The 27,680-nt window shown below is 35.1% G+C and overlaps 1 protein-coding gene across 5 annotated transcripts in view, besides 1 other annotated feature; it reads left to right on the top strand.

The window, feature by feature from the left end:
* CPED1 (cadherin like and PC-esterase domain containing 1) overlaps window positions 1–27,680 on the top strand; it is a 308,732-nt gene that overhangs the window by 115,906 nt on the left and 165,146 nt on the right. For all 5 annotated transcript variants that reach the window (NM_024913.5, XM_047420856.1, XM_047420857.1 and 2 more), the window contains 5 exons: window positions 19,715–19,857; window positions 21,204–21,276; window positions 22,474–22,641; window positions 23,766–23,870; window positions 25,509–25,678. In NM_024913.5, coding sequence (NP_079189.4) covers window positions 19,715–19,857; window positions 21,204–21,276; window positions 22,474–22,641; window positions 23,766–23,870; window positions 25,509–25,678 — 659 coding nt within the window. The remainder of the gene's footprint in view (window positions 1–19,714; window positions 19,858–21,203; window positions 21,277–22,473; window positions 22,642–23,765; window positions 23,871–25,508; window positions 25,679–27,680) is intronic.
* Window positions 3,409–3,458: a silencer, noted in NCBI's record as "silent region_18574". NCBI's record gives its function as "represses an Ori minimal core promoter by ATAC-STARR-seq in GM12878 lymphoblastoid cells {active_cell/tissue: GM12878}" and the evidence as "EXISTENCE:reporter gene assay evidence [ECO:0000049][PMID:35858748]".

Here is a 27,680-nt window from a genome sequence, read left to right on the forward strand (position 1 = left end):
AGACATAAATTAATTCATTGTTTGATCAGCCATCCCATATTTGAAGATGTTAGATTTGTTGCTATTCCATATTTGACATCAGATATAAAGTTATATGAAGATGATTCCTTGCATATAATCAGCTCCCTATAAATGTCTCTTCGATTGAATTGAATCAAAGGTCATTAAAAAAATTTTAACTGCATGAAGAAATTGCCTGAGTCTACTTTATCCCTAACTGCTATAAGCCAGCCACTCTACTTTGCAATGATATATACATGATATAGGTAAATATTATACAAATGATCATTTGTTTTCCAGTAAATGCAATAGACAGATGTCATAATCTGAATTTCTGGATAAGGGCCACTTTGATAGAGATAGGGAAATCTGGGATACCGTAGCCTTTTTTCAAGTCAGATTTGTAAGTTCTAAATCACCAGCTCTCTACCACCGCTGCACTGGCCTTCAGGGGACCATTCTTCCATCTCCAGTGCTTGCAGTTCCCTCTCACATCAATACAATCAGCAAATGTGCACAGAGGGCAGAGGAGAACTGTGGCAAAGAGAGGAATGGTGTTATGTACAAGATTCCTTTTAAAAAGATGCATATATCCCTTATTCATTTTGGAAATATGACACAGTTGTAGGGATGAAGTTAGCCTCATTTGTCGTCAATATTTATGCACTGCCTTTGATAATGTTGGGTGAGATTGCTTATATATTCCCAAGGTAAAAATGAGTAATGTCTTTGGAAGAAAGTATAAAGTGACAGTATGGTTTTTCAACCTTAGGAAGTGTTCTTCCCCTGATCTTCATTTTATGTCCAAAACTGCAGGCTACGAAGCAGACCTTGTAAAAGGCTTTTGACTGAGCATCTGGCCCTTCGCTAGGCCCGGGAGATTTATGTCAGCTGTAGAAAGAATGTGAATAAAAGTCTTCTCCTGAGAGTTTGTAAAAAGAGTTGACGTATTACTTAACCTACTTTTGCTTGAATTAAATTTTAAAATTGCATCAGGGTGTTCATTTTAAAGTATGATTTTATATAAATAGAAATTATAAATAACCAGCATGTAATTGAATAAACTTGTGACCAAAGCTGACTTACTTTAAAAACTTTTATAATAACTGCAAAGTAATCAGCCCACATTGATGTTAGATTGCACTAATACTCTTTATAGCAACTTTGTGTCTTTTTAAAAAGCAATTCATTCACTCATTCATTCATTCCTTCATTCCCAACTTGGTTCTATTAAAAGATTTGTCAAGTCATTTTGTACATTCGTTAATTCTGAAGGCTGAACTTGGATGATTATCCTAAATGTAAAGAAAACTATTCATTAATGATGATCATCTTTATCTGGCCAAAATGATAACTTAAGCAGATGACTCTAAGCCTCAAAAAGGCAAGCAATGTGTTTGCATTTCCAGAGCCTCACAGAGTTCCTGGCGCATGGCAGATGCTCAAAAATGTTTATCAGTGAATCGTTGTCTATCATCCTTATTTTAATTAAAGGTACCTCATTAATAATAACTTATTAAAAACTGCCATTTGGGGAAAATATGATTTAAGAGCAGGTTCTACAACAGAAGATAGTATTATGGATTTACATATTCCATCATTGTTAATTCAGGCATATTTTCCCTTCTGAACTAGGGTAATGAACGCATAGACATATGCAAATATAATTAACTAACATAATGCTTTATATAGGTAGATGCTATATAATGCTTTATATAGGTATACACATATATGTGTATATATGCCTACATATATATATATAATGTATTATGACAGTGTAAAGGTAAAACCTAACACTAATGAATAAATTTGCTAATTATTATTGCCTTTAATACTAGAAAATCAGTAGGCAAGTGTTAATTATATATCCAGAAAAATGGAGGTAAGCTAATACTCAGGGATTTCAGTGTGAAATCAGGTGAGGTAAGTTCATTCCTTCTTCCCTCCTTCTGGATGCTTGAAAGATGGAAAAGTTCCTCAATAGTACTTTGGAGGATAGAATGTATGTTTCCCTTCTCAGCTCCTCCCCTTCACCTGTCCTGTTCACAGCCTGCTTCTCCCTGGAGCCATCAAGGGAAGGTATATGCTGGGATGAGGATGGGACCCAGTTATGGACTTGAAAAGAGCAAGTGTTGTTTCTCTGAACTGGATCCTGGAAGTGTATTGCCCGTGAACTTCACAGAAGCTCTTAAAAATTAATCTCTGCGGGCTCTTCCTCTTTCTGCCGTTGCCCAGCACAGTAATGTCACTCTGATTTCTGTTACACCTTGCCGATAACAAGTTTATAAAATAAACAAGTGTTTAGAGTAAAAACCAAGCCTGGGAAAAGAGGTCTAGTGTAAGCAATCTTTCAAAGCACTTTAAGCGTCCATAGAGAGCAGCACCATCTTAATTTTTTAGTTTCTTATTATTTCTTTAATAGATGAGCCAGCTAAGCCGTAGAGATGTTCGAAGACAGAACAGCTGTATTCCCTTTCTTCACTACCCTCATGCAAGAAAGGATTGTTAAGATGGATCTTTGGGAAATGGACCATGAATTAAGGCAAAACTCCCTGCAATCTTCCTAAATGTTTTCATTTCTGTACAGACACCTAGAGAGTTATTGAATTTAATTTTATAAATCTTTATCCCTAAGACTTTAACAACAAGGCTTAACTTTTTCATCACTGTGGTAATGTTAAATATCTTCTGATGACAGGAAAATATATTGGAAGGAAAAAATCACATGAAGTCAGCAAACAGGAGAACAAAAACCAAGAGGAAAAATCTACTTGCCTAAATCTTTTTGAAATCCTTAAAAGAAGAGAGTTTGCTTATTCTTTATTTATGTAGGAAACAAATCTTCAGTGCCTGGCATAGTAGCTAATATTCAGCCGATTCAGGGAGAGAGAAATGAATTAGAATAGAGACTCCACTCATCAAATTGCTGAAAAGAATAATTAGTAATAAAAATAACTCCTTTACAAAGTGGTATGTGGGTGCAAAGTAATAACAGTGAAAATAATGGCAGTAATTGTCTCCAAAAATTAATCGCTTTAATGCTTAAGTTTATTACAGAATATTTACTCAGTGGGGAAGTTAAATGATTTTTACACTTTTACTTTGGGTATAGAAAAAAAGTAAGTTTTTACCAGTACGTTTTGAAACTTATTAAATGTATATCATTTTTGAGATTTTTATTAACAATATCCTTTATTCCTTGAGATCTGTCTCAAAGGCTGACAAATTCTAAATATAAAATATCCTCAAATGTGCCAACTAGGTAAAACTGATTTGTCTGCTGAAGGAAGACAGGCTTTTGCTCCCTTCAGGAGAAAATCTGACTTGCATTTGTCTTATGTGATTTATTCATTGTAAGTTTAAAATGAAATACAGCCTTTTTCCTTCCATATATTAAAATGTGGTTTCAAATTTAGAAGAAACAGCAATCTTTTTTCACTAAGGAAGCCTACATAGCAGTGAGATGGAGCAAAACAATTACTGTATTGCCCCCTAGTGGTCTTTTTTGCTATTGTACAAATAGTCTGAGCTGTCCAATGGCAAGAGGAAAAAAGGCAAAAATGCTTAGCAAAGCATGGAGCATTTTTCCCCCATTGGATTAAACATATTTATTTTAAAAAAGTTATTTTATAACCCATACTTACAGTAAGAAAGCTGTGCTTTTAAGTAGATTGCGAATGATGATAATTCCTCACTACAATTTAAATTACCTAGGCCACACAATTATTTGGAATGATTTCAGCATTTGCCAGCCACTGGACATTGTTTTTTCACTTAAGAACACTTTGTAAAATTTAATATGCAGTGCTATTAAAGAATGATATCCCTCAGATGACTATATGTTAAGAAAATTCATTCTTCCAGCTCAAATTCATATCATAAAATATAATAATCTTAATTTTTTTCTATGGAAAAGTTAAGCCTATTAGTCATAAACTTGTGAGTATACATTTAAGTGAAGAAATGTACATTTTGTAATGTTTTTTTCATATAAGGAAATTCAATGATATTTTCTAGAGCTCTTTCTCCTCAAGGAATTTACTTGAGAGTGGTATAAATATGCAAAGTACACAAATATAGGATATTTTTATGGAATATGGAATACTGACTTAGAAGAAATGACTTATAAACATGCTATACTGTCTTATGTGTAGATCATACAAAATATGTCAGGGATGTTGGACTGATTTCCATAAAACTCTAGTCTAAGCCAGTCACCACAAGCTCAAAAACACCACCCTGTCCCATTGCCCAAAAATTAAGACCTAAACTTTTTTCCTTGGAAAAACAACAACAACAAAAAAGATTTTGCAACACATAGTTTTAAACTTACTACACAATACCAGTTTTAAAATTACTGTACAGTTAGAGCTGGCATTTTATACTTAACATGTAAGACTGCACTACTGTACCCATGAATCTTTTGTGTTACTTCTATTTGATTACAACCTGAGCCTCAAATCTGCTGTTAACTGGAATTCCTTTAAATTATCTAAATGACCTGATATTATGATATAGAACTGAAAATTTGTGTTTTATTTCTCTGAGTGCTACTGAGGCAGCAGAAATGGATTCTCTCCCAGGACTCTTCAGATATATTTTGTATTCTCTACCTTCTGCAACATAAAGACGTATTTCATTGCTTTTGTTAGATCTCTATGGAGCGTCTGCCTATAGGGCGGTCATTCTCTCATTGCGTCACTGGCTGACACAGAGCATTCCTATACACATCACTCTGTCTTCTTTGTCTCAAAACAATTTGTCCTTTCACTCCCTATTCCTAGCCTGTAAAAGCAGTTCTTAGAAGCTCGATGAAGCAAGTCTTTAAAATTTAGAGAAAGGGACTTCAAACAGGAGAGGAAATTCCAAGCATCCCTTTATTTACATATATATCCGTATTCATATGCACTATGTTTCCCCTCTACATCAGCTTCTTCTTATTTGGTCTCTAGTTTTCCGGAATCTAACAGTTCCAGGTACCATAGCCTCATCAATCTGTTTAAAAAACATACTGTTCCAAACTGATGCTTTGGTAGAAATTTCTAGTAGAATAACTTCTGAATAACTTCTACTAGAAATTTTTTCAGATATATTTGAAAGGTATAAGAATTTTTCTATGTGCTTGATTACTCAGATTATCTACATGAAGAATATTTGTTCAAATCACACACAGAGAAATCATTACTTTAAACTCAGAAGTCACAGAAGAAAAACATTATGCTAAGGAAATATATTTCATTTTCATGCCTTCAAGGAGTTACTGTTAAAGAAATGTGATTTTACAACATGAATAGGACGATGATTACATCCTTTCAGGCTGAGTAATAAGCAAATATCCAATTGCATTTTTACTTTAAAGGAGAGAGAAATAAATCACCAGCATTAGATCTATAGCACTGGATATGCAGGAAAGAAAAGAAAAATCCCAAGCCATACTTCTACAGGTCTGGGGATCGGTGTGCAGTAAGAAAGTCCTTGTACAAACTCTATGACCTTAGACAAATCTGCTTACATCTATGGACCACTTTCCATGTCTATAAAATAGGGATGGTTTTCCTATGAGTTAAATTAGCCTTTTGATTCCTGCTACAAGTATTTACCGGCTACCTCTTATATGCTAGATGTTATGTTGGGCTCCAGTAGCATAGCAGGAAACAAGGCAAAGTCCCTGCCTTTGTAAAGTTTATTCTTGTATGGAATGACAGATGAAAAACAGATAATTAATTATACACATATAAAGAAATTCAGATAGTTACAGGTATTTAATATATCTAAGAATGAAATGAACAGGATGGATGTTGACTAGGAACTAACTGGTCTGCCCACTTTATGAGAGGTAGAAAGATTGCCCTGAATAGGTGATATCTGAGCTATAATTCTGTGATGAGACTAAGTGCCATTTCAAGAGATGACAGTAAAATACTCCCAGCAAAAGGACAATTCCAAAGGTAGGAGAGTCTTCACATATTCAGAGAATGCCACAACCACTGACTGTGTAACATGTTGAACACAGGGTGAGTGGTAGAGAGATTGAGAGAAAGGCAAGAGCCCAATCACACAGGAGTCAGGAAAGGTAAGAAATTGAATTTTTTCCCTATGGGCAAAGGGATGCCTCTAAAAGATAGTGAACAGGAGGCTATCATAATCTGATTTACTTTTTAAGCCCATTCTGCTGCTTTGTGGAGAACAGATTGAAGAGAATTGTGAACAGAGGCAGAGAAACCAGTTGCAAGGCCATTCAGGGGTCCAGATGAGGAGCATGGTGGCTTGATCTAGGTTGGTGAGATATGGTAGTCTAAAAAAGGAGAAATGTGGATACGTTTTGAAGGTAGAAACAAGAATTGGTGTTGGGGTGTGAGAGGCTAAAGAGAGAGGGTTCAAGGATGACTCTTCAGCCATTATTTGAATGGTGGTGCCATTGACTGAGAGATCAGATGGGGGAGCAACCAGTCAGGAGGAGGAATGGGAAAGAGAAATGTGAAATGAGGAGGTGGAGAGGCACACAGGTTCCTGTTCATACAGCAGCTTACCTGTTGAGGCTGGTTCTTACTCATCTACCTCTTCTCAGCCCTTGGTTGCTCTGTAACCTGACTGAAGGCCCTACCAGAAAATTTTTCTCCTGGACAATTTGGTGATTCTTTTTCCATTCACTTCCTCTCTCTGCCTTTCTTCTCCCCAGTCACTGTAACCCCTATTTCCAACAGAAGTATCCTACCACTTCTAAATGAATAGAAGAATAACTGTAGCTATTTGCCCATCCTGGTGTGACAGGGAGGTTCCCACAGCTCCAGGTACCCATTGCTATAAAAACAGCCTTGGCAGGGGTGCCTGTTTCTCAGCCACCATAAAATTGGGTTATTTTCAAATAGATGGTGCCTCAAATCACAAGTCTAATCTTTTGAAGGATAGTAGAGTGGTCTAGTGTGATGTATTCAGATAAGAAGGTGAGAACATGCTTAGGAAAATGCTCACCCTAAAAAGGGTTCAATCTATTCAATGTTTGGGATGGAAGCCAGAGTGAAGTTAGAGAAGTTTGAAACAAATAACTCAATCAGAATCAGCAAGGCTTAAGTTGCATTCTAAGCACTGAAAATAAAAAAGAAAAAACACATGAGGTTCTTAGATCACCTTCTCCATATGAGAGGTGTGAGAAGGAGATGCGGGCTCCATTTCAAAAAGAGGAGAAATGAAGACAAAATTTAAACAATGATAAAAGGCAAATTGAATCAGTCAGCTTTTGCAGAGCAAATCATCTCCAAACTTAGTGACTTCAAATAAACATTTATTATTTCTCATGGTTCTATAAATTGTCTGGACCAGCTCTGCTCATCTCTATAGGCAGATGGTGGCTAAGCGAGGCTGGGTAGTCTAGCCTGCCTTCACTCACGCTCCTAGATATTGGCTGGGTATCAGCTAGGGCCACTGGGATGACTTGGCCATGTGCCTGTCATCGTCTTGTAGTCCACCTGATGTTCCGCTACACAGTGGCAGTTTCAGGATTCTTAAGAATTGCAAGAGAACAAAGCCACTTGAAAAGGCCAAGTCCTTTCAAAGTTTTTGCTTGTATAGTAGATCGAATGGCTGTCCCCATAAGGATATGTCCATATCCTTACCTCCAGAACCAGTGAATATTATCTTGTTTGGACAAAGGGCCTTGGCAGGTGTAATTAAATTAAAGATATCAACATGAGATCTTCCTAAATTATCCAGATAGGCCCTGTGCATGTCATTATAAGAGAAAGTCAGAGAGAGATTTGACACAGAAGAGAAGACACACAAAGGAGAAGATACATCTTCACATCTTCACTCATGTGAAGATGAAGACAGACAGTAGAGTTTTGCACCCACAAGCCAAGGAATGCCAACAACCAGAAGCGGAAAGAGGCAACGAATGAATTGTCCCTAACAGCTTTAAGAGGGAACGTGGCCATGTGGACATCTTGACTTTTGGACTTCTAGCCTCTAAAACTGCAAGAGAATAAATTTCTCTAGTTTTAAATTGTGACGTTTGTAGCAATTTGTTACAGAAGTCCTAAAAAGCAAAAGGAGTTTACATCACATTTGCTAAATATCTCATTGGCCAAAGAACATCACATGAATAAGCCAAGATTAAAGGGGTGAAAAAATAGACTCCACCACTGGATGTGAGAAGCTGCAAAGTCACACTGCGAAGGGGTGTGCATACTGGGATAGGAAGAATTTGTGACCATTTTTTTGCAAACTGCCACACTAATGAAATACTTTCATGTTATGGCAGATTACCAGCAGGTTTGGCAGGATGTAATTTAAATGTGAGAATAGGGAAATATTTAAATTGGGGGCAAGGGAAAACAAGAGAAGTGGGAAGTGGGGACGAGTATCTTGACTGATGACTTCTCGACTAAAAGAGAAGTAAGTTTATAATGGTTATATGTCCTTCATTAAGTAAGGTATAGAAACAGTATAATTTCACCCACAATAAATAGGTTGAAAATTCATGCATTTAATCTATATCTTCTTGCATATATAAGTTTGTTCATATGATCATGGAGCCAAAACAACTCAAGGAAAAGCAATATTGAATATTTCAGTAATCATTCACAGCTAATTCAACTCAGTTGTACTCCAGAACTGTTTGGAAATCCCTACTATGTGCTGGGCCATGTGAAGAAAGACTCAAAGAGAAATACTGGTTCTTGCTCTCAAAGAACCCTCCAGTGGGGGAGAGTTATATATTTATAAATAACTCTAATACAGGGCAGAATGCAAGGCATGACTCAGAGTTGCAGAGACAGTGAAGAGTAGGAGAGAATTTTTCAGGCTGGAGAAAGTGAATAGGTTTCATAGAATGGATGGTATTTTAGCTGGGCTTGGAAGAATGAGTAGGGTTTCTTTAAAAATGAAGAGGGATGTTTACATTTGCTTTGCCAAGACAGCATGAATCATGCAGGTGAAAACATAGGTTATAGTCTTGGAACTATAAACTGCCTTATTTGGCCAGAATTTGAATGTCCTTAAGAGAAGGGAGAATCCTAGGGTGGACTGAGGTGAGAGGGATGGGGAAGGAAGGAAGGAAGAGAAAGAGACACAGGATTTGTGGAGTAGGTTAGACCAGATGAAGATATACTGGAGACGAAACCTGAAGAGCTTGAATTTCATGGAATGTAAAATGTAAAGTGACACTACTGTCATTTTACACTTCTGAATGTATTCTCAGATATAGTCTTATTTGAAACTTTTTTTTTTTCTTTGAGACAGAACCTCTTTCTGTCGCCCAGGCTTGAGTGCAGTTGCACGATCTCGGCTCACTGCAACCTCCACCTCCTATGTTCAAGTGATTCTCTTGCCTCAGCCTCCTGAGTAGCCAGGACTATAGATGCGCACCACCATGCCTGGCAAAGTTTTTTGTATTTTTTTGTAGAGACGGCCTTTCACCATGTTAGCCAGAATGGTCTCGACCTCCTGACCTCGTGATCCACCTGCCTCAGCCTCCCAAAGTGCTGGGATTACAGGCATGAGCCACCACGCCCGGCCTTATTTGAAACTTTTAAGAAACCCAGGAGATAGATTGAGGTTTATATCCACTCTATGGATGAGGAAGTACAGATTCATGATTTAGTGAAGACGACAGAACTAATAAATGTGGTTAGGATTGGGACTCAGATCTCCAGTGACTAAAATCTCTCTTAGTTACCACTGACAGCTTATAGTACTGCTCTGCATTCCCCCCATAAAGCTTATTGACTGCTGAACCCAAGAGCTCAATGCCTGAGGCAAGGATGCTACCTTCAAGTTTGTCCCTTACACCCTTGAGTTCTATGCCTACCTTCATGAACTGATGAACTGTAAGTGCAAAAAGAGACAGACTTGCTTCTGTAAAAGCAGGCTGAATATTTATAACATCATCAATATAGGACAATTGAGTTAAAACATTTCAGATGAATTAAATGTGGGTATAAAAACTTTCAAAATTTAGGGGGAAGCTGTAAAACCTAGAATGATTCTGCCCTGGGATTTCTTTGCAAGTGTCTTTGTGTTCTTGGTCTAATTGCAATTAAGTCCATGCCTATGGGTAAAGTTTCTGTAAGTTAGATGACTTGCAATTCCAATTAGTTCACCCATAGTCAAAGGCCTTGGCCATATGTCAAAAGATTGACAAAGGAATACAGGTTTAATTCTTTTTTATTTTTTAAAAAAAGTTTAAGAATTGGGTGTATCACTTTTTGAGTTCTCATATAAAAATAATGCACTTTTGTAGTAAAAAAGGATAAAGGTACTTCTACTGTTTACTGTGTGCATAAACGTATGCGCATGCATAATCGTCTGTTGATTAATTGTTATGTCCTTCAGGCGTGAATGAATTAACACCTTATGGTTTTATATGCTGACTTGGAGTGTTCAAGATAAGTTCAGCTACAATTGATTCATATCCTTTTGTAAATGTTGGGGACTTCTGTTCTTTATGAGCAGGGGACTGACATGATTGGAACTGGCCTTCATAAAGATGATGACTGGTGGCAATGGAAAAAATAATTGAGGGCAGGGAAGTCAGTAGTCAGTACTCAGGGCACATGGAGATGACATGGATTTGGGCTATCTAGCATTATATTTGACCAGATGCTAAATCATGAACTTTTAAATTATGCATAATTAAGCATAATTGAAAATAGCCCATGTAAAAGAATGAAATATTGTTTGGTGTGAGAGAGGTGTAAGGTAACTGACATGAGAAAGGTGTGAGAAAACAGCAGAGAGCTGTCATAAATTTCCTATGGATTCAAAAGACTTTACAGCCACTTAAAAGTTAGGGCAAATTGCTCTATCATGTTCTTTATTGTACAACCAGAACTGATTTTTTTTATAATGAATACATTTCCTTTTCTTTTGTGATTGACCAGGAAACTTAATAAGACCTAAAATAGATACCCTGCATAAAATATCCAGAATATAAATTGAAAACATTTTCCCTTTTTACTTTCTTACTCATTTGAGAGTATTTAGAGATATGAGATAGGTATCTTTCTGCCAAATGAATCCTTATTTGCAAATTTTTGTACTGCCTGTAACAAATATTACTTAGTACAGATATTACCGGATTTCAATGCCATCTTCTAGTCAAGGTAATTAATAAAAGATGGATTGTTTTCAAACAAGCTGTCAGACCTTATATTATTGGAAGTTCAAAGAAGGCTTGGTTTTAACTTTAATAGAAATAGTTGTGACCTGCTCGAACAATGGCATTCATATAAAGAAAATGAGCAGGCATATACGTAGAGAGTTCAATGATAAAATCTTTACAACTTTAGCTTTTGCTCTTTGCTGTTAAATCTCTCTGCTCCTTTATATCCCACTGAGAAATTCCAGAAGGGATAATAAAGAAAACCTGCCAGTTTTCTAAGAAGGTTGAATATAATGCAATCAAGGGTCCATCATTCAAAGCAAATAATTAAATTTTTATTCTATTCACAGCCTTTTGTATTTCTGTACTCTGCTTCTGAACAATTCCCTTATATGCTTGTGGGAGAGTTTAAAGTTTTCAGCTATGAAACTGATTAAATTGTATAGAATCTACATTCTGAATTTCCAAGTTTAATATATGCTATAAAGTTTAGGGCTGTTAAGAAGTACGAATGAGTAAAATTATAGATGTCACTGGAAACAGAAAACTTATTTAAATTTTGGAGTTTTTAATATAATTCCAAGGAATGAGTAAAAGTATCCTAATTTAGGTTCAGCCAATTTGGTTTTCTGTGATTTACACTAAAGCAAGCCAATTTTCAGTGAACTAAAACAAATGATGAGAGTATTTATATTCTTAAATCATTTTAGTTAACATGAATTTTTTTCTTGATCTAGGCAATTTGATTTAAGTTACAAAGAAATATTCTTAGTTTTTCCAAAAGGTAATTAGGCTACATAAATTCTCAAGTTGTTGAGTTGTTAATTGTGTGGGTGTAAAGGCATGTGCTTGAGAATTGTGACAGTTTTGAACATGTTTTAGATGAAAGTAAAAATACAGATGATTCATTCTTCTGGATTTCAGGGTCCATCCATAGTCCTAAACCTAATATGATCAAAAACACAAAGGCAGAAGTAATGCTGGGGCTTTGTAGCAAAGCAGATTGGCTTCAATACCCATGTTGGTTGCCCCCAGCTGTATAACCTTAGGCGTGTACCTTGCATTCTTAACCCCAAGTTTCTTCATCTATAAAATGAGAATGATGAGTACCATCTTCATAGCATTGCTATGAATACAAACAAAGCAGTGCATGTAAAATGCACAGTGTCTGCCACATAGTGTCAGCTTGGCTAAGGGTAGTGATTATTATTAAATACAACATAGAAACTCTCTCTCTCTCTCTCTCTCTATATATATATATATACACACACACACACATATATATACACACACACATATATATACACACATTATATGTATATACACACACATATATACACACATTTTATATATATATACACATTATATATATATATATATATATAAATATATATATATATGTTTGAGATGGAGTCTCGCTCTGTCACCCAGGCTGGAGTGCAGTGGCATGATCTCAGCTCACTGCAACCTCTGCCTCCCAAATTCAAATGATTCTCCCGCCTCAGCCTCCCGAGTAGCTGGGATTACAGATGAGTACCACCATGCCGGGCTACTTTTTGTATTTTTAGTTGAGACGGGGTTTTGCCATATTGGCTAGGCTTGTCTTGAACTAATGACCTCAGGTGATCCACCTGCCTCGGCCTCCCAAAGTGCTGGGATTACAGGCATGAGCCACCACACCTGGCCAAATTATATTCAAATACAACATGTACATTAAATTAAAAAATTATATCACTACTTAGGTTTGTAATTTAGTCATTTTTCTCCATTTCTCTAATCTTTTTTTCTCTTTTTCTTCTATTGTTAAAAATCTGATTTTTTTCCTTCTAAATCACCTTCCTTTTCCAAGGGTCCAGGATGTTCACTAGCACTTCATTTTTGGCCACAGCTCTCTCAGATGCATTTTGGAGTGGAGGCAGGCAGCCATATCCAGAGCTGGGTGTCATATGCCTTTGGGGATCCCTGATGACTCCCCAAGGGGCTCAGAGGCACATGGACAATTTTGAGAGAGTCACTGCCCAGAACTTCACCTTTCATACGGATCATACATTCAAACTTTCTAAAGTTTGATTTTGCTGAAAAGATACCTCTAAAGCAGGTTGTTCTTTCCCATTCTTTTTATACATCCTTCTGCTCTTCAGAAGAAAGACCAGCTTTTGCTAGCTCTGATATTATAATGATGGTTACTCAAAGGTGAAAAAACATTTGCCAAAAAAAAAAAAAGAGAAAATTTAACTATGTTGTTCTTTAGAGCAAGTGAAGGATGCCAATCACTAGGTAACAAATCCTTCACAATTCAGGTTGCTTTCAGTTCTTTGTTTTTAACAAGATTGAATATTTCATGATAAACCACTATGTGATTTTTAACATATACCTTGGAGGGAGTTGAAAGAACTGAGCCATGTTGCTATAACTAAACCCTTCCATCCACGTCTGTGTATTTATGTGAACAAATTTTCTTCGTTCTTATATTTAAAATATTAATACTGATGCTGAACTCTTCTTGTTCTAGCATTAAGTGGCATTCTTTTAATGGATATATGAATTAATTGAATAAAAAGAAACCGGCTGGGCGCGGTGGCTCAAACCTGTAATCCCAGCACTTTGGGAGGCTGAGGCAGGTGGATCATGAGGTCAGGAGTTCGAGAACAGCCTGGCCAACATGGTGAAACCTGTCTCTACTGAAAATACAAAAATTAGCTGGGCATGGTGGTGCATGCCTGTAATCCCGGCTACTTGGGAGGCTGAGGCAGGAGAATCACTTGAACCAGGGAGTCAGAGGTTGCAGTGAGCTGAGATCACACCACTGTACTCCAGCCTGGCTACAGAGCAAGACTCTGTCTAAAAAAAAAAAAAAAACAGAGAGAGAAAGAAAAAAAAAACCATATCTATCTGAGAGATTGCATTAGGTCATTCTTGTGTTGCTGTGAGTATCTGAGACTGTGTAGTTTATAAAGAAAAGAGGTTTAATTGGCTCACCGTCCTGCAGGTTGTACAGGAAGTATGGTGCAGGCATCTGCTCAGCTTCTGGAGAGGCCACAAGAAGCTTTTACTGATAAGAGAAGGCAAAGGAGGACCAGGCATCTCACATGGTGAAAACAGTAGCAAGAGGGGATGGCCGGGAGGCATCGCACTTTAAAAACTAGATCTCCTGAGAACTCATTCACAATGACAAGAACAGCACCAAGCCACGAGGGATCCGCCCCCATGACCCAAACACTTCTCAACACGCCCCACCTGCAACACTGAGGATTACAATTCAACATGATATTTGGTGGGGACATATATTCAGACAAATCAGAGCTGTATTTCCAATACAATTTTACTTTTTATTCTATAAATTATTTAATATGATTTGTAATGTATTTCTCTTGTTCTGACTAATTATGTATGACCAATAATTTAAACTATTTGGAAGAACTTTTTTTTTTTTAACTTAGAGCCATACGGTCACTGAAATTCTAAAGTTTAAATTTGCAAACTTTTTTTCTATTGCGAAATATAGGACAATCTAAAAAAGATATTTTTTTTTTTTGAGATGGAGTCTCGCTGTCTCTCAGGCTGGAGGGCAGTGGCAAAATCTTGACTCACTGCAAGCTCCGCCTCCCGGGTTCAAGTGATTCTCTTGCCTTAGTAGAAACGGGGTTTCACCATGTTGGTCAGGCTAATCTCCAACTCCTGACCTCGTGATCCACCCGCTTCGGCCTCCCAAAGTGTTGAGATTACAGAAGTGAGCCACTGCGCCCGGCCCCCAAAATTTTCATATATAAAAATATTAGGATGAAATTCTGAGGTATTTGGGTTACTTCAGATTCATTTTAAGAGTTTTGGCCGGGCGCGGTGGCTCATGCCTGTAATCCCAGCACTTTGGGAGGCCGAGGCGGGCGGATCACGAGGTCAGGAGATCGAGACCATCCTGGCTAACACAGTCTCTATTAAGTTATTTTTAAAAGTTTGAATTGTAGTCATATACATGTAACGTGAAATGTATCATAATCCTTTCTAAGTGTATACTTTAGTAGCGTTAAGTATTTTTACACTACTGTGCAACCAATCTCTAGAACTTTTTGCACAACTGAAATTATATACCCAGTAAACATGTCCCCATTTCCACCTCCTCCCAGCCCCCAGCAACCACATTTTACTTTCTGTTTTTATACATTTGACTACTCTAGATACCTCACATAAGTGGAATAATCCAGTGTCTTCATGACTGGATTATTTCACTTAGCGAATATTGTCAAGGGTCATTCATGTTGTAGCATGTGTCACAATTTCCTTCCTTTTTAAGGCTGAATAATATTTGTTGTAGGCATATACTACATTTTGTTTATCCCTTCATCTACTGATGCACGTTTGGGTTGCCTTCAAATGTCAATAATGCTATTATGAACATGGGTGTGTAAATATGTCTTTGAGACCTGCTTTCAGTTATGCTGACTGTATACCCAGAAGTGGAATTGCTGGATTGTATGGTAGTTCTATTTGTAATTTTTTGAGGAACCACCAAATTGCTATTCAAGTGGCTGCACCATGTTACTTTTCCACCATCAAAGCACAAGGATTCCAGTCTCTTAATATCCTCACCAATGATTATTTTCTGTTTTGTTTTTGTTAGTCACCATCCTAATGGGTGTGAAGTAATATCTCACTGTGGTTCTAATTTGCATTTCCCTAATGATTAGTGATATCGAGCATCTTTTTAATATGATGCTGGTGCAAAATGACCTTAAGTACCAACATTCCCTGATATGACTTAAGTACCAATATTCTTTAATCTGAGAAGATGAAAAGTTCTTTGACACATAGTAACATCAAGAGAAACCCTGGTATACTTTAGTACGGTACAGTGCTGTTAAACATGACATTCTGCTCCGGTTTCTCATTCAAGAACATTACTTTGAAAAACCCTAATATTAGTAAATCTTTCATCCTCCATTCTAACTCATAGATTAAATTTTCTTATCTCTAAAATTCTCTCAAACAGCTGTAGGCTTCTATTCTTCAAAGGTTTTATTACAAGACACCAGAAAAATTTATATTCTCTCTCTCTCATGAGATGGGAGCAAGAGATAAGCATGCCGTCCTGAGGAAAGTGATGTTACCCAGAAACTACAGTAAGGTGTTTCTCTTATCAAGGTATCTGTGGTTTCTGTAATGTCATAGGTTTGTTTATTCAACAGTATTTACTGAATACCTACTTAGCATTAGGCACTGAAATCCAGAAGATAAAATAGGACAGTTCCTGACCTAAAAAAAAAAAAAAAAAAAAACAAAAAAACTCACAGTCTAGCAGAAAGAGCAGACAAGAAGGTTGGCAAGTTTAACACAGAACAAATGACATGTGTTGACATTGAGATCAATTCACTCAAGCAAGGTCTTATGGGAGGATGGAGAGAAATAATGAGGCGGAACCCAGAACATAACATGGGAGGAGTTGTAAAATATGTGGTGGAATGAAGTAGATAACAAGGACACCTTGGGAAAGATATCAGACATGATCCAAGTTTTTCTATATACTTTTAAGTGCATTCTGTTGCTCTTGTCCTTCCATTTTTAATTAATTGAAAATTTAAGTCCATCCACTTGTATCTGAATAAGTTGCTTGAATGGATCAATGTTGTAAAAATGTAAATACCTTACTAGTTATTGCTTGAATTTTACACAGGTACAAACAAATGATGATGCATTAGCTGACTGGTTTTACGACCATGATCTTATGAGGTCATTTTCTATATAATTTATTTTGCACTAAAATTTACACTGAAGGAAGAAAATTTATAGTTTATAAAATAGTTTCATGTCATGTTAAAAGTTACAAGATGTTCTTTTATTCATATTTATTTTATTGCCAATATACTGATTTCCTTGCGAACTTATATTCTCACATTTATTTAATTGAAAAACATTGATTGGAAGTGTTGATAAGGAGAGGAAGAAGTCTCCTTAATATTTGAGTTAATGGCTTGACTGTTTTAAATTAGGAGGAAAGGTGAAAGTGCTCCTTCAGGTATTTGTGAGTTAAGAAAGTGCATGGGTGAAATTGTTCAGGTTCTGGTGGCATTTGAATGGAATTAACATCAAATAATTTCAGATTTGTCATTGTCTCATGAGATCATTGAGCATAGTTCTGTCATTCTGCACTGAGACTCACAGAACTCATGTAATTTGACCAAGGAAATACAATTAGAGTAACAAATTGCAGTGTAACCGGACACTCAAAAAAGTGGTTCACTTAGTTAGTCTAAGTGAGTTAGTTACAAGAACTGATAAAAGTTGTGCCTTCTTTTGGAGACTTTGAAAGTTTATGATTTTTTAAAAATTCATATGAAGCACTCGCGTGATTCTACTTTAATTTCTAGCATATGTAGTTTGCTTGCCACTATACTGAATGAATTAAAAAGAAGAAATCACACTCATCTGGATTTTTTTTTTTTTTTTTTTGAGACAGAGTCTCGCTCTGTCACCCAGGCTGCAGTGCATTGGTGTGATCTCGGATCACTACAGCATCTGCCTCCCTGGTTCAAGTGATTCTCCTGCCTCAGCCTCCCAAGTAGCTGGGATTACAGATGTGTGCCACCATTCCCAGCTAATTTTTGTATTTTTAGTAGAGATGGGGTTTCATCATGTTGGCCAGGCTGGTCTCGAACTCCTGATCTCAGGTGATCCACCCGCCTTGGCCTCCCAAAGTGCTGGGATTATAGGCGTGAGCCACCATGCCCGGCTGTCTTGTTTTAATTAATAGAAAATAAAAGGAGCTGACATGTACTGAATACAGATGTGCTGGGTGGTGGAATTCCTTATGTACATTCTGTCATTTAATCTCAAGGATACCTCTATAAAGTAGGCACTGTTATTAATCCCACAAAGTCTCACAACTTTGGCACAAAACCAAAGTTGAACCTGGACCTTTTTACCTCTAGAGTCTGTAGAGGTAATACCTATGTACTATGCAACTTGTCTCCCAAAGCACAGAACACAGGGCTTTCTAAAGGCTACAGTTCTCTAAAAGTTGAATTGAATGGCATCCCATATTTAAATGCTCACTGCTACATTAAGAAATTAAGAAATAATCATTTTCATTTTAGAGAAGTAAGTGCAACCCTAAGACATTAATTTGCTAATTATTCTTCCTCATGGAGATAAAATCTTATAATTTATCTTATCTCATATGCTACATAGACATTTCCAACTTTCATATATTATTAACCTTAACCTCTGTGATATTCAGGTAACATTGAAATAGAAAAATGCAACAATGTCACACACAAACCTTTCTACATAATATGGTGAAAGGAATGAAATATAATGAGTTACTTTTACTTGGAAAAACATAATGTTACTCTGCTTTGAATCAAGGGTGTTAACATTTTTAGTGTTAGCAATAATTTGTTTTCTTTCAATCATACAATTATTACATTTATTTTCCTTAGTAAAATGGAAGAACATCCCAATTGCCAAATACTAATGACGCATTCTTAGGGTCTCTATGTGTAATCTTATTAGGTTTCTGTTTTCAACTGGAAAGTTTATGAAGCCAGTATTTGTTTATCTTGGGGGAATTTTGCTTATGCATTGAGAAGACACATTTACCGTTTTTCCACAGGCAATCCAGGCCAATATTTGTCCTTCTTTATCATAGCAACAAAAGTTTTTCACTTTGCAATCCTGTGTAGTCTGGATAGATTTAGTCTGTTTTTCCAAAAAACATTAATAGAATACCTGCTGCATGTTTTTTCAAAAAATATTTTTTGTTCTTCATCTTTAAAAGAGTATGTTTATCCAGAGAAAGTTTATGAATCAATATGAGATTTGTTTTATATTTTTAAAAAATATTCACTTGAACTTTGATATGAAGCATCCTCAAGAGGTAGTTTTGTTTTTGTCATTTTAATATTTAAGCAAATAAAAACAGCTATTTGTGATACTAACAATTGTGTTTTTAAGATGACACAATTGAGCTTCATTCCCCCTTTTTTGTAATACTGCCCTATCACATGAAATAATTAAGAATTAAAACATTAACAGGACACTGGGATTCTCTCAGAGTCTTCTCTGGTTGGCTAGATCTGGCACAGAATAATGGCATGAGGAAGAAGCAACTTTGATATATTTATTTTTGTTCTAATATGCCCCCAAAATTGATAATAATAAAAAACTAACATTTGAATTTCATACTTTAACATGACTTTCAAATACATTTTCTTCTAATTTGGCTTCACATCTCTCTTGTTGGTAGATATTAATCCCAATTTAAAGAGGACACAAAGATTCTGAGCAGTGGGTGGCAAGCCCAGCTCACCTAGTTAGTAGAGTTACAAATGAAACTTTGGAGTTCTGATGACAAGACTTGCATTTTCCACGATTAGATGCTGTGAAATGAGGAAAATAAATGGAGTAGGCATTTCTAAAGAAATTTAAATTACAAGACATTTAAACCTTTCTCTTTCAATATACCTGTATCTTAGATTACCAAACTTACTGATTAGGTGAGGGTGGGGTTTGGGTGTGACAAGTAGAGATAACCTAGAACAATCCTTCAAATTGGTCACCTTGAAAATGATAGACAAACTGAGGCTATTGTTTTAACACGTGAATCCTTTACTTTGTTCACAGCTGCAAACATTTTTTGAGACATTCCTGAGAGCCAGTTCACCTCAACAGGCTTTTGACATTATGAAGGAAGCAATTGGCAAACTACTGCTAGCGGCTGAAGTATTCAGTGAAACATCTACTCTGGGACCAAAGACCTTCCATAGGTAAAAAACAAATTTTAATTTAAAAAAAAAAGAAAAGAAAGAAAGCAACCTATCTTTTAAAAATTGTTGGTGGAAATGTATCTTAATTATCATAAGTAGGTGGTACTTGGAAAATTTTATGTCAATATACAAACATGATCTTCTAAACATATGTGGCCATATTTATAGATCCTAAAACTTTAGAACGTGTGGCAGACTCAGTAGTATCTAAATAGTGGTAACAAGAAGTAAAGTGCGCATTTTCAAAGTTAATCTTTTAATTGCAGCCGCCTTTTCAAGTGCAACTGTTTCTATCATAGATACTTGGCATTGACTAGGTATAATTTTACTTATACATAATAAATTTCATTCTCAAATATCCCACTGATTTCATAATGCAGAGGAGAAAATGAAGAACTTTATTAAGAAAATTCAATAACTCCTATTCCCATATCTGTTTACTTGACTATAACTTATTGCCTTTGTTCTAAGGAAATGTTAAATCTCGTACGTCAAAAAGTGGGGGAAGCACATCAATTTAAACCTTATCATAATTTATATGTGAATAGGTACCTAGCATGTAGGAGTAGGAGAGTTTTCTTCTTCGTATTTAGGTTTCCATGGATTAACTTTATTGCTTAGTTTAATGTGTTATGAATATTTAGGTATATTTTTATTTTCTATAAGAAATAAAACAGAATCCAAATCCAAAAATTTATCACATGTAATTTTACATTATCCAAGCCACTGCTCTTTTTAATTAGTAGATATATTGAAAATTAACAATAGTGATTATTAATATGACACCAAATAAGAGTAAATGTAGCAAGAGAATATAGTTTTTATTATTATTATTTTACTTTAAGTTCTGGGATATATGTGCAGAATGTACAGGTTTGTCACATAGGTATACATATGCCATGGTGGTTTGCTGCACCTATCAATCCATCATCTAGGTTTTAAGCCCTGCATGCGTTAGGTATTTGTCCTAATGCTTTCCCTCTCCTTGCCCCCCAACCCCCAACAGGCCCCAGTGTGTGATGTTCCCCTCCCTGTGTCCATGTGTTCTCATTGTTCAATTACCATTTATGAGTGAGAACATGCAACGTTTGGTTTTCTGTTCCTGGGTTAGTTTGCTGAGAATGATGGTTTCCAGCTTCATCTATGTCCCTGCAAAGTACTTGAACTCATCCTTTTTTTATGGCTGCATAGTATTCCATGGTGTGTATGTGCCACATTTTCTTTATCCAGTCTATCATTAATGGGCATTTGGGTTGGTTCCAAGTTTTGCTGTTATAAATAGTGCATTAATAAACATCCATGTGCATGTATCTTTACTTTTATGGTACCTTGTGTTTTCATTTTAGATGCAGATTCTGCTTTCAACTTCTAACTTTTGATATTGGTTATGGCAGTTTCATGTACCCTGTAGTGCTCCAGGTCAGTATGCCAAAGGCCTCATGTGAGCTTCTACCTTGTGGTGAGAGATCAGTGTGTGTGTGTTGTTGTTGTTGTTTTCATTCATAGTAACCAATCAATAAATAGCAATTTGCAAAAGTACTGTAGGCTTATATTCACTGTGGTTCAGACAATTAACTAGTATGTGGAGAATCTATGAGTCCAATCCTGCCTATGTGTCTCTGTAAAATAAACATGAATTTTTCTATGGTTCAAGTACTATTTGTGAAATAAATGTGGTATGAAGTCAAGTATGCATTAAAGGAAAAAAGAGGATGTGTAGATAATAGAAAGTAACAGATTATCTGGCGTATTCACATGAGGGTATAAAAAGATAACTTTTATTTTTTACATATACATATTTAGTTTAAAATTGGTTTATATTTAGTTTAAAAAAACCATGGGAATTTTTGAATTTTTTTTTCTGATATAGATATGTGTAGAGTGAAGTGTTTTTGCCCATTTTGATTCTTTTCCTTCCTCTCAAATTAAATATACTCATTCATATTATCTCCCCCAACATATTTTGTTTTTCCTCTAACATAGCCCTTAGAGGCAAAAACATAAAAAATAATTTATTAAATTAGTCTATAGAAAGTTCTACCTTGGAATACAGGGTGGGAAAAAAGGAAGAAGGGGAAAATAAAATTATGTATAACTAGAATATAGCTTTGTATAACATTTCTGTGTCCTCAAACTATTATTCCGGTAAGCCAATTACATTATAGATGGCTCATACATTTGGTTAAATAATTCCAAGATTTCTCCATAAAAATTTAAAACTTAATTAACTGACACTTTTAAATACTCATTTTTTCATTGTTTTGCATGCATACCTAATAGTTTGTATTATGCTTTTTAAAATCTGTTGTTCAGAAAGAAATGTTATGTATTATCTTCCATGAAAGCATATTCTTCAGCTATAAAGGGTATCGAGATAAACTAATGTGACTTTATATTAGTTAATTTTCTTATACTGTACATTAAATAATTGTATCTTTAAATTGTATCTTTAAAAAAAATTACTCACATTTATAAAACTGTTGACTTCCAAAAAGACCACTAGATGTCAGTTCTGATCTATAATCCAACAGGAAATAAATCATGTCTTAGAAGTAATTCCATTGTCTTAAAAGTAAATCGATGAAAAATATTTGCTGTGCTTTTGTTCTTTCAAAGGTACACGAGCATTTAAATTTTCAAGATTATGATAATATGGATTTTGAGGACCAAAATACAGAAGAATTCCTTTTAAATGACACTTTCAATTTTCTCTTCCCTAATGAATCATCACTTTCCATATTTTCTGAGATATTTCAGAGACTTTATAGATCAGATGTTTTCAAGGTAAGTGCATATTTGTGTACTGATAAATATTTTTTCAAGTCATTCCTTAGAAGGTGTCATTCTCCTTATTCTGCAATTCAGCAACTTGATAATTCACTTCAAATTAATTGGTATCTATTATATCACACTTCTTAATTTTTTCTGACCTCTGGACTAAGATTATTTTTATGTCAACTAAGTATGTAAGTGACTGATTATGATAAAATTATGGGTTGAAAATTAAGTATAGTGTTCATAATTTCTTATTTTTTCTTTTTGTTTTTCTTTTTTTCTTTTTCTTTCTTTTTTTTTTTTTTGAGACAGAGTCTCGCTCTGTCACCCAGGCAGGAGTGCAGTGGCACGATCTTGACTCACTGCAACCTCCGCCTCCTGGGTTCAAGAGATTCTCTTGCCTCAGCCTCCCAAGTAGCTGGGACTACAGGCATGCACCACCAAACCCAGCTAATTTTTGTATTTTTAGTAGAAACGGGGTTTCATCATGTTGGCCAGGCTGGTCTTGAACTCCTGACCTCGTGATCCGCCTGCCTCGGCCTCCCAAAGTGCTGGGATTACGAAATGTTTGTGGATATTATGAATAATATGTATTGTATGCTACAGAATACTTTTTTATTTTTTAATTTTTTCTTTCATCTTATAAGTTCAGAGGGTACATGTGCAGGTTCATTACATGTATTATAGTATACTTTAAAAGAAATGTTAGAACTCTTTGGAGGCAGTCTAGAATAGCAGTGAGTGCTCCAGATTGACGTCAGAGGACTTGAATTATAATGCTATTTTTTTTTAAGCATTCACATCTATTGTCATGTTTGGGCAAATGCCAATGAATAGAGCAGAGTGCTTCAAAATAACATGGATTGATTTTTATAACACGTTAGCATCTCCCCAACCTCACTACCAAAGCATCATTGAGCTATTTTATCCAGGTCCTCCCTGTCAGATATGAAGCTTTCTTATATTCAGACACCACTGTGACAAGTTGAAGTTGCTATGTATTATTTAACATTAATTAGCTCAGTTGTTTATAGAACTCAAAATCTGATTGGTTGATGAAATGGGAGGTAATTGGGTTGAACATGGTTTGACTTTTTAACAATTGCTTAAGTTCTTTCCCCCTACCAATACAGGGTGAAAACTATCAAAAGGAACTAAATCAGTGTCTGTCCTTAGAAGAAATTAACTCAATTATGACTTTCATAAAGGAACTTGGAAGTCTGGGACAATTCCAACTGGTAAAGCAAAAGTGACATTTGATTCTTTCTTGGTGACTGGGATTAGAGTAGATCACTGTAAGCTACCTGATTTTGACATCAAACTAGATTAAGTATTTCTTTAAGAAATAGAAATCTTTATAAGCTACTTTGCTCTTTCAGAGATCTAAGTAGCAAAATGAGCAAGATTTATATGCATAACTTTAAGAGTTTGCAAACAATATGTGACTTATTAAAGGTAAAAGAACATGGGATTAGCATAGCTGCCAGAATTTGACAGTTTTCAAGGGGAAAATGCCAACATTTTTCTGAAGAAGTTTTACTTTTAGCTTCAGAACATTTACATGCAACCAAAAGTTATTTCTGCTTATTATCCCCTTGTTATTTCTGCTTATTATACCCTTTTTGTTTTTGTAAAATCATATAGAGTTGAAAATAATATTTTAGAAGACTGCCTAAACCTTAATTTCTTATAACTCTATATCAAACTTCAAAGAAAGAAAATGTAAATAATTATAACTTTTACTGGCTTATATCTTTTAAAAAAGGCATTCATTTTATCTTCTATGTATTTTGTTAATTCCTTGGTTAGTATCAAAGGATAATTTATTGAGTGTGAAATGCATGTTTAATACTTGTTTTCTTTCCAGTTCTGATACTTATATAGACTGAAATGAATTTGTATTTTTCCACCTAAGATTTGTTCATATGAAATATCTTTTTGAAATAGCATTCTTAATCATTAATCATTTATTATTACCCTGATGTTTCACTCAAGTATTTATCTTACTTGTAAAAAGTATATGTGTGTGTGTATATATGTATATATATATATATATATATATACGTATATATATATATATATATATACGTATATATATATATACATACATACACTACTTGTATGAGTTTAATCAACTTACTAAGTTAATTAATGAGTGTTTGATACTCCTTTTTCTAATTTGGTCCCAAATTTTGGAGGATTCAGAGTAAGCTAATTTCCCCAAAGATAATTGAGTTGGCACAATATCATTTTAACTATTTTAAACGTATAAGTATTACATTCACAACAGTTTGACTAAATACTATAAAAAGATAATAAAAGGGATCTGCCTTGCTCTTCAGGAATTTATAACTTTAGATACTGTTACTATGGAGAACATTTCTCATCATAACTTGAGGAAGAACTAAATAATTATTTTGCAAGAGAAAGAGAAAATTCCAATTTCCTGGTTCTCACAGTAGAAAGGAGATAACCACAGATTTTTATTTGCGGGGGAAAGAGGGGAAGATTAATATTTCTCACTCTGACATAATTCATTTGTAACCCAAGAGGCTCTCTCATTCTTCCTGCTGCCTAACTCTGTTATTCATGTGTCTTCTGGTATCTGTAACAGGAAAGAGAAATCCGCTTATATTCAATGAAAAGAAAAAAAAAAACTCACCCTATTTGGAAATATGATCATCAACAAAATTAGTTTCTTATAAAAAGTGGCATTTACATCAACAACTTTGCAGAAAACTAATTTATGGTACTGACCAATGGATTTTTAACAAATATCTGACTTTTTAAATAAATGACTAAGTATAAGGCTGTTCATAGTAATACTACATTATAATTTGTTTTCCATAACTTATACTGATATTTTGTGTTCTCAGCTCTTCCCATCTACTACTCCTGGGATTCAGTCACTGATGCATGAATTTTATGATGTGGCAAATCCTGTGGGAAATCCTGGCTCAGTCCTGACCCAATACTGGTCTCTTTTAAATGTATTTGAACAATTTCAGTTCATGAATAAAAAGACACAGCCACATCCACTGGAATGGTAAGATAGCCACAAATTTGAATTGTACAATCCAAAAAATCTCTAGTTTACAGATTGATTTCAAAAGGCTTTGCCTATGTTAAAGCAAGCAGCAACAACAAAAAAGTGTGTCCAAATTTCCATGCTCAGGAAAATAAATGTCTTTAAACATTGAAACCATAATGATTCTAGTGGTCTTCAAACACTTTAATAAAAATGTATCCAACAGTTTTTTAAACCAACAAGACTTGACTCCACTATAATGTTTAGAATTGAAAGTTTCAATCTAGTTTCCTTCAGTGATATATATTCTTGAATTGTGAGGGTATCAGACAGAAGTAATTAGATGAGATGTGTTTTATGAACCATCAGTCAGAGTGGCAGCTTGAGACAGTAAAATTATTTATTTAGAAAGTTTTTGAGGTGTGACTTTTTTCTGAGCAAAACCCATTGAATGTATATACATATGTTCTGTCTTTGTCACAATTGATTCCTATTTTGGTTTCAGAAGGTAGAACTTTGGGGTTTTTCTTTTTTTAGAAGGTAGAATCTCAGAGGAAAATATTTGGATAAGATAAAATTTCCCACCTTCACTTCCATTCTAATGAGAGGTAGTAATTAGGGAATAAGAGGGAACTGAGATGGATAAAATTTTATCTCCACTAGTTAGGGAAAAGGGGCAACACCTAAGGTTTTTTCTGCTTCTCTTTTATATGGATGGAATTACAGGAGCATTCGACTTTTCTACTGGCAGCAAAACAGAAGTAAACCTAAACCTCCTAGGGAGATGAAAGACTAAATGGCCCTGCCATAATCATTTAAGTCTTTTGCAGTCACCCTAGGCCATGGCTTCAGCTCTATTGACTTACATTTCACTTCTTTCTGCTAAGGATATAGTGAAAACAGTTCTATAAAAACTTTATTTTTACAATTCAAAAATTTGAATAATCATATATTTGAAGAATTCTTAGGACATATCCCAGGATCAGAATTCACCTTATTTGCCATGGCTTTAAGAAGCTGGTTTTATTTCCTCAATACCTGGAAGTAGTAGGCCCAGCAGAAGGTTTTGTTTATGTGTTTGAAAATTAGGTTTTAAATAACATACTTCAGAGACACTTTGTTTGTACTTTACACTCACTCAAATAATCTAAGACTGTCTCATTTATTATAGATGGGTGAAAAACAGACTTGATTTCCACAGGAAGCTGTTTCAAAGTTTTTTTTTTTTTTTTTTAACTTTGAGGAAGTTCCCTGAAGATACTCAAACTTTGGAAAGTTTGTTCCCAAGCAAATTTTTCTCAAGCTCCATGTATGTTGTAAGGTTAAGCAGTGTTCTGATCTTAAATTTAGAAGATTGAATTCTCTTCTAATAAGAAAATTTACTAATGGTCAGTGTTGAGTATAGTTGGAAAGGGTGAGGACTTTTTTGAGTCATAGAGACTATATTCAAAAATCCCAACTTTAGAATTTATGAAGACAGGTTTGAACCCCTCTGAGACTCAGTTTTCTTATCTGCAAAATATGCATTATACTATGAACTATGTATATTTCAGTATGATTACATAAAATTTCATTTGCTACATAGCATCTGATACGCTGTAGCACAGGTAGATAGTAAATATCAGTATACTTTCCTTTCCATGTTTCTATTCAATGATCATTTTAGCTTCTATAGTGGGGGTAATGTTTTTTTTTTTTTAATGGGAAAAGCACGACAAGTTTGAAATATTTAAGTTAATAGTGAGACAAGTAAACCTTACTACGTTTGTCAACAAGCAATTAGTATATTGCTAATTTCATTTGCATTCAAGAAAAAAATGCCCAAATCTAATTATCTTCAAGGTTACCAGTGAATGTGTATATATTTAATTATCATTCATGCCATATTGCAATGAGGATGCATGTTATATACATGTTCCAGATGAGAAAATGAAGTGCTAATAAGATGGGTTGTTTGTTCAGGTTACAAAGCTAATAGAAATAGAGTTGGAACTAGGACCCTAGCCTTCTCACCAATGGT

The sequence above is a fragment of the Homo sapiens genome, chromosome 7, assembly GCF_000001405.40.
Source record: "Homo sapiens chromosome 7, GRCh38.p14 Primary Assembly".
Lineage (NCBI taxonomy): Eukaryota > Metazoa > Chordata > Mammalia > Primates > Hominidae > Homo > Homo sapiens.